This window comes from Homo sapiens, chromosome 16, assembly GCF_000001405.40.
Source record: "Homo sapiens chromosome 16, GRCh38.p14 Primary Assembly".
NCBI classification, from domain to species: domain Eukaryota; kingdom Metazoa; phylum Chordata; class Mammalia; order Primates; family Hominidae; genus Homo; species Homo sapiens.
The window spans coordinates 28,486,487-28,498,991 of NC_000016.10; the positions used below are offsets into that span (position 1 = coordinate 28,486,487).

Consider the following 12,505-nt stretch of genomic DNA (forward strand, 5'->3'; position numbering starts at 1 on the left):
GGCCCTGGGAAGGAGAACACAGGAACATTCAGGAGGACCTAGGCTGACCATGGGACAGCCTCTCCCCACACTCCCTGCTCCACCTGCTTACCTGGGGTAGAAGGCAGTGAGGGAGAGGAAGGTGACCTCCCCAAGGCCTGATGAGATGCTAGCGAAGACCACACCTGGGGGGAGGACAAGCACTGGGATGGTCACACCACACCTTGCCACACTGCCCAGGCCTCTAATGTGTCTGGCCATGGCCTCCTCAGTATCAGCTCATAGAGGCTCCAATAGATCCCATGCATAGGCCAGGTTCCAGGTCTGAAGCAGAGCCCCACTCCCCTGCGTGTCCCTTCATGGAGAGTGGCACCTCCATCCACCCAGTTATCAGACCAGGGGCAGACATGCACCCTTGATGTCTCTGCCCCTTCATCAGTCTTTTTCTTTTCTTTTCTTTTTGGAGACGGAGTCTCGCCCTGTCACCCAGGCTGGAGTACAGTGGCGTGATCTCGGCTCACTGCAACCTCTGCCTCCCAGGTTCAAGAGATTCTCCTGCCTCAGCCTCCCGAGTAGCTGGGATTACAGGCTCCTGCCACCACACCCAGCTAATTTTTGTATTTTTGGTAGAGACGGGGTTTCTCCATGTTGGCCAGGCTGGTTTCGAACTCCTGACCTCAGGTGATCTGCCTGCCTTGGCTTTCCAAAGTGCTGGGATTATAGGCATGAGTCACTGTGCCTGGTCCATCACAGAGTCTTGACTTTGTTCACCTCAATCTCCATCTAATTCATCCATTTTCTCCCATCTCCTCCACTGCCTACCCCTCCAAATTGTCCCAGTCTCCCATCGCCTACTGCTGATAGCCCTAGCAGGCTTCTAAGGGTGACAGAATGAATCCCTTTCCTCTGGGAGGCTGGGGAGACTCTTCCCACAAATGCTCTGATGTGGTTCCTCGGGGCTCCCCATCTGACACAGAACCACACACTCACCACACAGGCTGGTCCCCACAGAATGAGAAAAGGCAACCAGGACGAAGCTTCCAGCAGCACAAATCCCACTGACGAGAACCCGGGGGCTGAGGGGGTGAGAAGGGAAGGGAGGGGGAAGGTCGGTCTCTACTCTCAGCATCTCAGCCATCCCAGCCTCCCCTTTCTCAGCTCCTGCCCACCCTGCCTCCCACTACCCTCACCCAGACCTGTAGGGCAGCAGGTGAAGGCCAAGAGGAGCCAACAATTTGATGACGAGTGTGGGGAGGATGTCCGCCAGGAGCACAGCCTGGGACAGGAGAATAGAGTGAGACCGCAGAGCTTCCAGGGGACAACCCTCCCAACCACGTGGCCAAGGAGAGGCAGGAGCTGGCCAAACAGGCCTGCTACAAACACAGGCTCTGGAGTCAGGCACGCCTGGGTTCAAGTCTCAGCTCTCCCACTCCTTAGTTGTGTGTCAAGAGTTTATACTCTCTGAGCTTCAGTTTCCTCATCTGGAAAATGGGAATATCATAGCACCTAGCTCACAGGACTGCTGTGTGGCTTAAATGAGCTAATATATGGTGCAGACAGAAAGGACTCAGAAACTATATATATATATATTTTGAGAGTGAGTCTCATTCTGCCACCCAGGCTGGAGTGTAGTGGCTCGATCTTGGCTCACTACAACCTCCACCTCCTGGGTTCAAGTGATTCTCCTGCCTCAGCCTCCTGAGTAGCTGGGATTACAGGCGTGCACCACCATGCCTGGCTAATTTTTGTATTTTTAGTACAGATGGGGTTTCACCATGTTGGCCAGGCTGGTCTTGAACTCCTGGTCTCAAGTGATCCATCCGCCTCAGCCTCAGAAATTATATTAAGGTCTCAATTATTTTATATATATATATTTTTTAATTTTTTTCTTTAAGATGGGGGTCTCACTATACTGCCCAGGCTGGTCTCAAACTCCTAGGCTCAAGTGATCCTCCCACCTTGGTCTCCCAAAGTGCTGGGATTACAAGTGTGAGCCAGTGCGCCCAGCCCAGGTCTCAACTGTTTTAATCATGACAGTCCCAGCTGGGTAGTGAAGGGCTGGGAGTGGGGTCTATAGACCCAGGGGCCCTGGGTCAGGCAAGGACCAGGTGAGATGAGTACGCACAGCCGTAGAGACAGAGTTGCAGTCAAATCGTGATGAGCTGTTGTGGGGGATCGGCGTTGGGCCTGGGTCCACCTAATGGGAGAAAAGCATGTCTTTCACCCTGGAGGCAGAGGGATAGACACACAGAGCCTGGCTCCCGTCCCAGCTCTGCCTTCACTTGAAGGATGGCTTTGGGTCAGCAGTGACTGACTTCTCAGGACCTCAGCGTCTCTGCATGCACAATGAAGAGGGGGTTTCCATATGAGTCTCACACTACTAGACCACAGGCCACAGATGGCCCTGTAAATGGACTTTGTTTAGATAACACATTCAAGAGCTTTCTTTTTTTTGAGATGGTGTCTCACTCTGTTGCCCAAGCTAGAGTGCAGTGGTGTGATCTTGGCTCATTGCAACTTCCACCTCCTGGCTTCAAGCAATTCTCCTGCCTCAGCCTCCTGAATAGCTCAGACTACAGGTGTGTGCCACCACACCCAGGTAGTTTTTGTATTTTTAGTAGAGTCGGAGTTTCACCATGTTGGCCAGGCTGGTCTCGAACTCCTGACTTCAAGTGATCCGCCCGCCTCAGCCTCCCAAACTGCTGGGATTACAGGTGTGAGCCACTGTGCCCAGCCAGAGACTGGAAACTTTACCCCACCTTGTCCCACCCCCTCATCTTCCCACAGGGACTAACCATGGTGGTGGTGGTAGAGAGTCACTTACATGGCTCTGGTTTCCCGATGTCCTCTTGTGGCTAAGGATGTCGTGGGCGGCACTCAGCATCACCACATAAGAGAAGTTGTTGCAAAGGCCCAGCAGCCTGGAAGGAGCAGGACAGGTCTCAACTCCCTCCTCATCCTGCAGCCATCTGTAGCCTTTGTGCCAAACCTTCCCTTACCTGTGCCCTTCAATCAGCCCCCTCTTTTTTTTCCCTCTATCACCAGATCCCATCCTCATTCAATGTTGGGGTCAAAAATACAGGCTTTGGTGCTTGGGCAAGATAGTGAGACCCCCATCTCTACAAAAAATTTAAAAATTAGCCAGGTGTGGTGGCTTGCACTGTAGTCCCAGCTACTTGGGAGGCTGAGGTGGGAGGATTGCTTGAGTCCAGGAGTCAGAGGCTGCAGTGAACTGTGATCATGCCACTGCACTCTAGCCTGGGTGACAGAGCAAGACCCTGTCACAAAAATAAAAAATAAAAAGGAAGAGGCCGAGTGCAGTGGCTCACACCTGTAATTCCAGCACTTTGAGGGGCCGAGGCGGGCGGATCGCCTGAGGTCAGGAGTTCGAGACCAGCCTGAGCAATATGGAGAAACCCCGTCTCTACTAAAAAATACAAAATTAGCTGGGCGAAGTTGCACATGCCTGTAATCCTAGCTACTCAGGAGGCTGAGGCAGGAGAACCACTTGAACCCGAAAGGCGGAGGTTGCAGTAAGCCGAGATTGTGCCATTGCACTCCAGCCTGGGCTACAAGAGCGAGACTCTATCTCAAAAAAAAAAAAAAAAAAGGAGAGTGGTCACAGAGAGTTTCTGGGAGAGGCCTTGGAGGCTGGAAGTGAATCCAAGTCTGTGATCCCAAAGCCCCTATGTCAGGGCGGGGCACGGTGGCTCACGCCTGTAATCCCAGCACTTTGGGAAGTGGAGGCAAGCGGATCACCTAAGGTCAGGAGTTCTAGACCAGCCTGACCAACATGGTGAAATCCTGTCTTTACTAAAAATACAAAAAATTAGCTGTGTCTGGTGGCACGCACCTGTAATCCCAGCTACTCGGGGAGCTGAGACAGGAGAATAGCTTGAACCTTGGAGGTGGAGGTTTCAGTGAGCCGAGATTGTGCCACTGCTCTCCAGCCTGGGTGATAGAGTGAGACTCTGTCTCAAAAATAAAATAAAATTAAAAAAAAAAAAAAAAAAAGCTGGGCGCGGTGGCTCACACCTGTAATCCCAGCACTTTGGGAGGCCGAGGCGGGCGGATCACGAGGTCAGGAGATCGAGACCATCCTGGATAACGCGGTGAAACCCCATCTCTACTAAAAATACAAAAAAATAGCCGGGCGTGGTGGCAGGCGCCTGTAGTCTCAGCTACTCCGGAGGCTGAGGCAAAAGAATGGTGTGAACCTGGGAGGCGGAGTTTGCAGTGAGCCGAGATTGCGCCACTGCACTCCAGCCTGGAGGACAGAGAGAGACTCCGTCTCAAAAAAAAAAAAAAAAAAAAAGGTTCAGGCCCGGCATGGTGGCTCATGCTTGTAATCTCAGCACTTTGGAAGGTTGAGGTAGGAGGATCACTTGAGGCCACGAGTTTGAGACCAGCCCAGGTCCCATAGTGAGACCCCCATCTCTATAAAAAAATATAAAAATTAGGCAGATGCGGTGGTGCACACCTGTAGCCACACCTACTTGGAGGCTGAGGTGGGAGAATCACTTGAGCCCAGGAGTTCCAGGCTGCAGGGAGCTGTGATTGCACTACTGCATTCCAACCTGGGAAACAGAGCAAGACCCTGTCTCAAAAAGAAAAAAAAATAAGATAAAATAAAATAAATTAAAAAAATAAAAAAGTTTTAGTAGTGATGCATTTATTTAAACGTTCACTAGGAAAACGCTGGTTTTCCAAGTGGAGTCGTGATTTAAAGTTTTCTTTTTAAAAATATGTGCACTAAAAAACGTTAAGGCTGAATTGGCTGGAAGAAAAAAGTAAATAATCCTACAGGTGGTAGGTATGAGGATCTTGCTAAATCCGGAAGGTGATAAGGAGTGAAGTTTGGAAATTTTACATGCTGCCCCTGGGGCAAACCAGTGGATTCAGTAAATATTTGTGGGTTCAGCTCCTTTGCGCAGCTTAACTCTTTCTTCCCCCTTTCCTCCGGTCACTTCCCTCTTCTCATGCCATTGTCACTCGCTGAAGTCTCAGGCCACTCACCAGAAGCCCACCGCGTTCTTCCAATGCGCGCCCTGATGGTCCAACAGAGGGAGCCGGGGCTCCGGGACGGTCTCCTCCCCTGGGAGAGCGAGAAGAGGGCATGACCCCCACCTACTCTCAGGTGCACGACCGCTCCTTGCGTGTCCTCCCGGGGCCGAGTCAGCTCTCATTCCCCTCAGGTGGGCTGCGAGCCAGAGGTGGTCGTTCCATGAGGGTGGGCGGGAATACTCACCCTCGGAATCCGAAAAGCGCCGCCGCGAGCCTGCACAGCCTCCCATCGCATCAAGTTCAGGTCCCCCGAGGGTCCAGGGTCATAGAGTGTCCAAAGGGGGCTCCCACGGGAGGGATGAGGGTCTGCGACAGGTGACAAGGATCAACGCCCGATTGCCGGTCCCAGCTCCGGCTTGTCTAGGGCACTCGCGCCCCGCGATCCATCAAGGAAGCTGGGGGCTCCATCTCGAGCGCCCTACGACCCACCACGCCCCACCCATCGTACTCTCCCCCGCCCCGTCTACAGCAGGGACCCTGAGGCCTGTACCTTTAAGAGCAGCAGAATGTTCTGCACTATGCAGAGGCCGTTTGTCGGATCACGTGACAGCACCCGCGTGTTCCCCCATCACGTGCTCAGAGGTTTTCCCTACTTCCGGGTCCTCTCTGTCTTCGCTTTGGGCCTTCTCGGCTTCGGAGCGTGAAAAAGGGAGGGGCTGGAGAACCCTGGAACCGCAGGTTTTAAACTGGAGCGGGTGGGAGCAGCAAGCAGAGCCGTGACCTTAGATCAGTGGCGCCCAAGACCGAGACAGTAGCCTGCCAGCACCAGTTATGACTGTGGGAGGCTTCAGCTCCTTTCCTTCAGCACTCACTTGCCAGAAACAAATATGGCCACCTGCCTACTCCCTTTTTTTTTTTTTTTTTTTTGAGGCAGGACTGTTTCTGGTTGCGAACAAAGACGACCAGCTTCAGGTCATTCTTATCCCCATCTGTTGACCTTACAAATTGTTTTAGAGACCTAAGTAAACATAACACTCATCTAAAGGGATTTCGTGAATGATCTATTGGCAGTATCCAAGATGTTAAGAGATCCCTATTTCCAAATTATCCTAGAACCAAAAAATATCACAGCACTTCAACCCCTGGTGTTACAGATGAGAAAACCAAGGTACAAATATATATATATATATATATAACAAAATTAGCCGGGCATGGTGGCGCATTCCTGTAGTCACAGGTACCTTGGAAGCTGAGGTGGGAGGATCACTTGTGCCCAGGAGGTTGAAGCTACAGTGAGCTATGATCACGCCACTGCACTCCAGCCTGGGTGACAGAGTGAGATCCTGTCTCAAAAAAAGAAAAAGTAAAAAATAAAATAAAAAAAATATATGTATATGAAAAAAATTGGAAAGTTGCTGACAATCATTCATACAATGTTAGACCTAAAGGTGACCTTAGAGACCTGTATGGTGATAAGAAATAGAGCACCAGAGGCAGGGAGCCATTGGGTTGGCTCCAGGCTGCTGCAGGATTCCTGCCTCCATCAAAGGTGGTGCTTAGACCAGATTTTTTTTTTTTTTTTGACAGGGTTTTGCTCTGTTGCCCAGGCTGGAGTGCAGTGGCAGGATCTTGGTTTGCTGCAACCTTGACCTCCCAGGCTCAGGTGATCCTCCCACCTCAGCCTCCCGAGTAGCTGGGACAGCAGGTGCGCACCACTGTGCCCAGCTAATTTTTGTGTTTTTTGTAGAGACTGGATTTTGCCACGTTGCCCAGGGTGGCCTCAAACTCCTGAGCTCAAGCAATCCACCTGCCTTGGCTTCCCAAAGTGCTAGGACTACAGGCGTGAGCCACTGCACCTGGCCAGACTAAATGATTTTAAGGCCTAAGATTCTGATGCTGTGATTTCATAGAATTGCCCTAATTGGAATAGGAAAGTGGGGCTGGGGAGGGGAGAAGGAGGGTATGGGGAAGAGAAGTAGAGCAAGGTCACTTTATGTAGTTCCAAATAAGGAATCATACCCTTACCTTCTTCTAGGTGGAAAGCGGCATCCTGCATTCTCTTCTTGTCCTTGGCCTCATCTCTGCTATGGGCTGTGCCACCTCTATATGCTCTTTCTCACCACCAGGCCTTCAGAATGCAGTTGGAAATGTGCCCTCTCGTCTGGGTGTGGTGGCTCATGCCTGTCATCCCAGCACTTTGGGAGGCCAAGGTGGGCAGATCACCTGAGGTCAGGAGTTCGAAACCAGCCTGGCTAACATGGTGAAACCCTGTCTCTACTAAAGATACAAAAATTAACCAGGTGTGGTGGCACGCACCTGTAATCCCAGCTACTCGGGAGGCTGAGGCAGGAGAATCACTTGAACCCAGGAGGCAGAGGTTGCAGTGAGCTGAGACTGCGCCACTACACTCCAGCCTGGGTGACAGAGTGAGACTGTCTCAAAAAAAAAAAGAAAAGAAAAGAAAAGAAATGTGCCCTCTCTAGTGTGCCTCCCAGGTCACTCAGCTGATGGAAAATGGAATCCTACTAACGTGCAGGGCTCTAGAAATTCAGCAGCGTTTCATACATGGCATCTGCCATCAAGGAAGTCACAGGAAGGTGGGAGGCAGACACAGATATCCACAATATAAAGTTTAGCCAAGTTCTTTTTTGCAAGCCTAATCATAGGTGAGGGGATGCACCCCAGAGCCACCAATCCGGCCCCTTCCGCCCCTGGGGGAAGCATTAATGACGCCGAAATGTGTCAGAGCTCCCACCAGCCCCCTCTTCACTGCTACTCTTTCTTCCCAGGCAAAACAGGAACCACAAACCCCAGCTTCCTCTTGCAGAGTGGCTGTGGCTTGTAGGGGAGGCAGAAATGGCTGAGGTGCGGATACGAGACCTGAGTCACTTGAGCTGCTGTTGCCACATGTCCCCTCCCTCTCCCCCTCCCCAGTTCTAAGGTCTCCTGCTCCCACTTTGTCCTTTCTGGCCTCTTGCTTGTCCTTTATTTCCAAATGTGCACCTGAGTCCCCTGTGTGATGTACACCCATTTCCCGGGCTGCAGTGGGGGCTACTGTGGGCATCAGGGGCCGTGGGCAGGGCCTGGGGTGGGGACGCATCAGGGAGACAGGGGAAGAGGAAGTGCCTTTGGTCCTGGGGAAGGTTGGCTTGTCTTGGTGGGTGGGGACGGTCATTATCAGCTTTCTGGACACACAGACAGAGACAGACAGGATGGACTTCCTCCGGCTATACCTCCCTGGGCTGCACCAGGCCTTGAGGGGGGCACTGGTGAGAAGGGCAGACAGCTGCCAGATACTTGCACCCCATTCCCTGGGGCCTCACTTCCGGGCACCTCCCCTGGGGCCTCACCTTTCCCCTCCTCCTTCTGATCTCCTCAAACTGGAGATTGCTTTCTCAGGTTCAGGCAGACTCCTGGCCTAATATTTTCTGAATTTCAGTCCCCACCTCCAACCATGCGTCCTCGTACCCCTAATCGATGCCCCTTCTGGCTCCTTCTGCAAATCCTCTTCTTCTCCTTTCAGATCCCAGTACCCTCTTCCTTAACCTGGGCTCCTCCAGCCAGGGCCCCCAGGGAAAGGGCTGGGACTCTCCTCAATGACTCTCCCCTCTCTCTCTCTTTTTTCCTAGGATTCCCTCGGCACCTTTGTCTCCTACCTCCTGGGAGATGCAGTCCCCACTGTAGAGCGGGAGGCGCAGGCGGCTGAGGAACTGGGGGTGGTGGCGGTGGGAAAGACAGGGAAGATTGTAGAGGAGGAAGCCCAGGAGGACCTGGAGGGCCTTAGAGGCAGCCAAAACGAGGGGGCTGGAAGGCTGAGAGGGCCTGGAGATGACAGAAGACATGAAGTGGGGAGCTCAGCTGTAGAACAGACCTGGGGCTGGGGAGATGGCAGCTCCCATGGGTCCCAAGCAGAGAGGCAGGACAGTGGGGCTGGGGAGACAGCCAAGGCTGCCAGGTGCCAGGAGCCAAGCGCCCACTTGGAGGCCAGAAAGAAATCCAAGGCAGGGTCTGGGGCTTGCCAAGACAGGAGCGGCCAAGCCCAGGAGAGGCAGGAGTCCCATGAGCAGGAAGTGAACAGAGAAGAGAGGCTGAGAAGCTGGGAACAGGAGGAGGAGGAGGAAGAGGTCAGGGCAAGAGAGCCAGGGATGGCCAGAGGGGCGGAGTCAGAGTGGACCTGGCATGGGGAGACGGAGGGGAAGGCTGGTGCTGTTGGGCCAAAGGCGGCAGGGGACAACCGGGAGATGGAGCAGGGGGTCAGGGAGGCAGATGCAGGGGAAACTGAGGAGCCTGGGGCCGAAGGGGCTGGGAAAGGAGAAGAGGTGGTAGTGGTGGAGAAGGCCTGTGAAAGCACTAGGGCATGGGGGACGTGGGGCCCAGGGGCAGAGCCTGAGGACTGGGGAATCTTAGGCAGAGAGGAGGCCAGGACAACCCCAGGTAGGGAAGAGGCCAGGGCAATTTTAGATGGGGAGGAAGCCAGGACAATCTCAGGCGGGGAGGAGGCTGAGACAGCCTCAGGCGGGGAGGAGGCTGAAACAGCCTCAGGCGGGGAGGAGGCCGGGACAGCCTCGGGAGGGGAGGAGGCCGGGATAGCCTCAGGCGGGGAGGCTGGGACAGCCTCAGGAGGGGAGGAGGCCGGGACAGCCTCAGGAGGGGAGGAGGCCGGGACAGCCTCAGGAGGGGACGAGGCCTGGACAACCTCAGGCAAAGAGGAGGCTGACCTGCTGGGAGTCAGACAGACAGAATATGGAGCAGTCCCAGGAGAAAGGCTCCTAGAGGCTACTGGAAAAGTCTGGGTCCTAGAGGAGGAGGGGGATGAGGAGAGAGAGGCTGAGGTGAGCCCTTTCCCCAAACAGCCCCAGGTCCTGGGCACTGAAAGAACAGAAGAGGCTGCTGAGAGCCAGACCGCAGGGAGGGAAGCTGTGGGAGGCCAGGAGGCAGGGGAGAGCTTTGAGGGCCAGGTAGACCTGCGTGGTAAGGAGGCTGAGATGAGGCAGGACTTGGGGATCAGGGCCGACCGGGCCAGGATGGAAGAGCTGGTACAGGCAGAGGAGGCCCAGGAGGAGAGAGGGAGCAGCAGGGATCCAGTGGCTGAGCTGCCCTCAGATGGAGAGGCTGAAGGCACTGCCGACTTGGAGGCAACTCCAGAGGCCAGGCCTGAGGAGGAGCTCACAGGGGAGGAGAGTGAGGCGGCCCAGACTAGCTGTGGCCTACTGGGCGTGGAATGGGGTGGCCTCACACACAGCGTCACCAAAGGCCAAGGACCTGAGCTGATGGGGGGCGCCCAGACCCCAACTAAGCAACCCGAGGAAAGGGAGGCAGGGGAGGTGGAGCTCATGGGAGTTCTGGCCCTGAGCAAAGAGGAGCAGGAGAGGAGCCTGGAGGCAGGTCCCAGGCACGCGGGGTCTGTAAAGCCTGAGGCCTCCGAGGCCTTCCCAGGAGCCTGGGAAAACCGCACGAGAAAGGACATGGAGAGAGGAAATACTCAGGAGGATGCGGCCGATGGCGAGCAGCGGGAGGAGGAGGAGACTGCGGGAGGCCAGACCCTGGCGGCTGAGGCTGAAGGAGACCGAGAGTCTGAACTATCAGAAGTCCCAGAGGCAGGCGGGGAGGGGCTGACAACCCAGGACGCGGGATGTGGAACTGAGGAGGGAGAGGCATCTGTCTCAGAGAACCAGGAGCTGGACGGAAGCACAGGGGCAGACGCAGGGCCTTGCCCGTCACTGGGAGAGGCCTATGCCAGAGAAACTGAGGATGAGGAGGCGGAGGCTGACAGAACATCCAGAAGAGGCTGGAGGCTGCAAGCGGTGGCTGTGGGCCTCCCGGACCGTGAGGATGCACAGACTGGCTCTGTGGCTGCTGGGATTATGGGGGGTGATGTGGTCCCACACATCAGCGCTGCTGGCGCTGGTGAAGCTTTGGAAGGGGTGCTTGGGCAAGGCTGGGACTCGAAAGAAAAGGAAGAGGCAGCAGCAGGAGAGCATGCAGGTGGGCAAGAATTTGGTCTGGAGGGCTCAGCAGAGGAAGAGGTGACTGGCAGAGGCAGCCAAGTAGAGGCTTTTGAGTCCAGGGAGGGAGGACCTTGGGGAGGGCGGGTAGAGGCCGAGGAATCTGCAGGCGCAGAGGACAGCTGTGGGCTGGATCCCGCGGGCTCCCAGACAGCGAGGGCAGAGGGGATGGGAGCCATGGTGGAGGCTGGGGGGCTTCTAGAAAAGTGGACGCTGTTGGAAGAAGAGGCTGTTGGATGGCAGGAGAGAGAACAGAGGGAAGACAGTGAGGGGCGGTGTGGGGACTACCACCCTGAGGGAGAGGCACCAAGGCTCCTTGATGCAGAGGGTCTCATGGTGACCGGGGGCCGGAGGGCAGAGGCCAAGGAGACTGAGCCAGAAAGCCTGGAACATGTCAGGGGCCAGGAGGAGCAGCCAACACACCAGGCCCCTGCAGAAGCTGCGCCGGAGTCAGTCGGGGAAGCCGAGACGGCTGAGGCCATGGGCAGTGCCAGAGGAGGTGCTGCCAACAGCTGGAGCGAGGTGAGGGCTCTTGGTGGGGTCTCGGGGGGAACGAGTGGAATCCCGAAGCCGGCCCCATGGTCCTCTGTGCCCCCTTTCCTGCAGGCCCCGCTCCCCGGGTCCCTCCTAGACGTCTCTGTCCCAAGGAGTCGCGTGCACCTCTCGAGAAGCTCCTCACAGCGTCGCTCCCGGCCCTCTTTTCGTCGGACTCCGGCCTGGGAGCAGCAGGAGGAGCCCCCAGCCCCCAACCCTCCTGAGGAGGAGCTGTCAGCTCCTGAGCAGAGACCCCTCCAGCTGGAGGAACCCCTGGAGCCAAGCCCTCTGAGGCATGATGGGACCCCGGTGCCAGCCAGGAGAAGGCCCCTGGGACACGGGTAGGCACAGGGCAACTCAGCTGGGGTGGGGAAGAGACCGCGGGCACCTGGGAACCTGTTCTCACGGGCCTGACTTCCGCCTCCAGGTTTGGCCTCGCGCACCCTGGCATGATGCAGGAGCTGCAAGCCCGTCTGGGCCGGCCTAAGCCCCAGTGACTGAGACCCGGTGCTCTGGGAGCCAGGCCCTGAGTGGGTGCCAGAAGGCTTGCTCCAATGCCACTGAGCCCTGCTCCCTCTGCCACTGTGGACACATCCTCTCCACCCTCTGGGCCTCAGTGTCTTGATGTATCATTCATGGAGCAGGCAAAACCAGACGTCTGGGAAGACCGTGAACTTAAGGAGTCTGATTCTCCGACACAGGCTGGTGGACCACCTACCCCACTGAGACCACCTCTCAGGGTGCCTGCCCTGGTTCCTCCCCAGCCTGAGTCAGCTGTCTGGACTGCAAGGAGGCTGGGCACGGGGGCTCACGCCTGTCACCCCAGAGCTTTGGGAGGCCAAGGTGGGAGGATCGCTTGAGACCAGGAGTTCGAGACCAGCCTGGGCAGCATAGCAAGATCCCCATCTTTTAAAAACAAAATAAAACAATAAAGACTGCAAGGAAGACTGAGGGAACAGCGACCATTTTCCTTACAGGCCTTC

The 12,505-nt window shown here is 55.5% G+C and overlaps 2 protein-coding genes across 7 annotated transcripts in view, besides 2 other annotated features; one reads left to right on the forward strand and one right to left on the reverse strand.

The window, feature by feature from the left end:
- The window catches only part of CLN3 (CLN3 lysosomal/endosomal transmembrane protein, battenin), a 25,430-nt gene extending 19,834 nt beyond the window's left edge, over positions 1–5,596 (reverse strand). Inside the window, exons 1-9 of one of the 6 annotated variants that reach the window (NM_001042432.2) lie at positions 5,534–5,588; positions 5,228–5,349; positions 4,996–5,074; positions 2,804–2,900; positions 2,105–2,176; positions 1,176–1,255; positions 970–1,055; positions 92–164; positions 1–4 (exon numbers count right to left, since the gene is read on the reverse strand). The exon at positions 1–4 is cut by the window's left edge and continues 140 nt beyond it. In NM_001042432.2, coding sequence (NP_001035897.1) covers positions 1–4; positions 92–164; positions 970–1,055; positions 1,176–1,255; positions 2,105–2,176; positions 2,804–2,900; positions 4,996–5,074; positions 5,228–5,273 — 537 coding nt within the window. In that variant the 5' untranslated portion in view covers positions 5,274–5,349; positions 5,534–5,588. Of the gene's footprint in view, positions 5–91; positions 165–969; positions 1,056–1,175; positions 1,256–2,104; positions 2,177–2,803; positions 2,901–4,995; positions 5,075–5,227 lie in introns of all 6 variants that reach the window. The other 5 variants (NM_001286104.2, NM_000086.2, NM_001286110.2 and 2 more) reach the window with 5 other exon arrangements.
- Positions 5,470–6,259: an enhancer, noted in NCBI's record as "H3K27ac hESC enhancer chr16:28503277-28504066 (GRCh37/hg19 assembly coordinates)". NCBI's record gives its function as "activates a minimal SCP1, AML or CMV promoter by ChIP-STARR-seq in naive H9 embryonic stem cells {active_cell/tissue: H9 hESC(naive)}" and the evidence as "EXISTENCE:reporter gene assay evidence [ECO:0000049][PMID:30033119]".
- Positions 5,599–5,798: an enhancer, noted in NCBI's record as "active region_10640". NCBI's record gives its function as "activates an Ori minimal core promoter by ATAC-STARR-seq in GM12878 lymphoblastoid cells {active_cell/tissue: GM12878}" and the evidence as "EXISTENCE:reporter gene assay evidence [ECO:0000049][PMID:35858748]".
- On the forward strand, positions 8,157–12,478 carry APOBR (apolipoprotein B receptor). The gene is made up of 4 exons (NM_018690.4): positions 8,157–8,252; positions 8,613–11,510; positions 11,595–11,863; positions 11,950–12,478. Exons 1-4 carry the CDS (start codon positions 8,196–8,198, stop codon positions 12,017–12,019), a joined length of 3,294 nt encoding a protein of 1,097 aa, NP_061160.3. The 5' UTR covers positions 8,157–8,195; the 3' UTR covers positions 12,020–12,478.
- Positions 12,479–12,505: the final 27 nt, after the last annotated feature.

Coding starts and splice junctions, on each gene's coding strand:
- APOBR (NM_018690.4), top strand. CDS start 8,196: ATGGACTTCCTCCGGCTATACCTCCCTGGGCTGCACCAGGCCTTGAGG. Junction 8,253..8,612: donor AGGCCTTGAGGGGGGCACTG/GTGAGAAGGGCA, acceptor CTTTTTTCCTAG/GATTCCCTCGGCACCTTTGT. Junction 11,511..11,594: donor CTGCCAACAGCTGGAGCGAG/GTGAGGGCTCTT, acceptor CCTTTCCTGCAG/GCCCCGCTCCCCGGGTCCCT.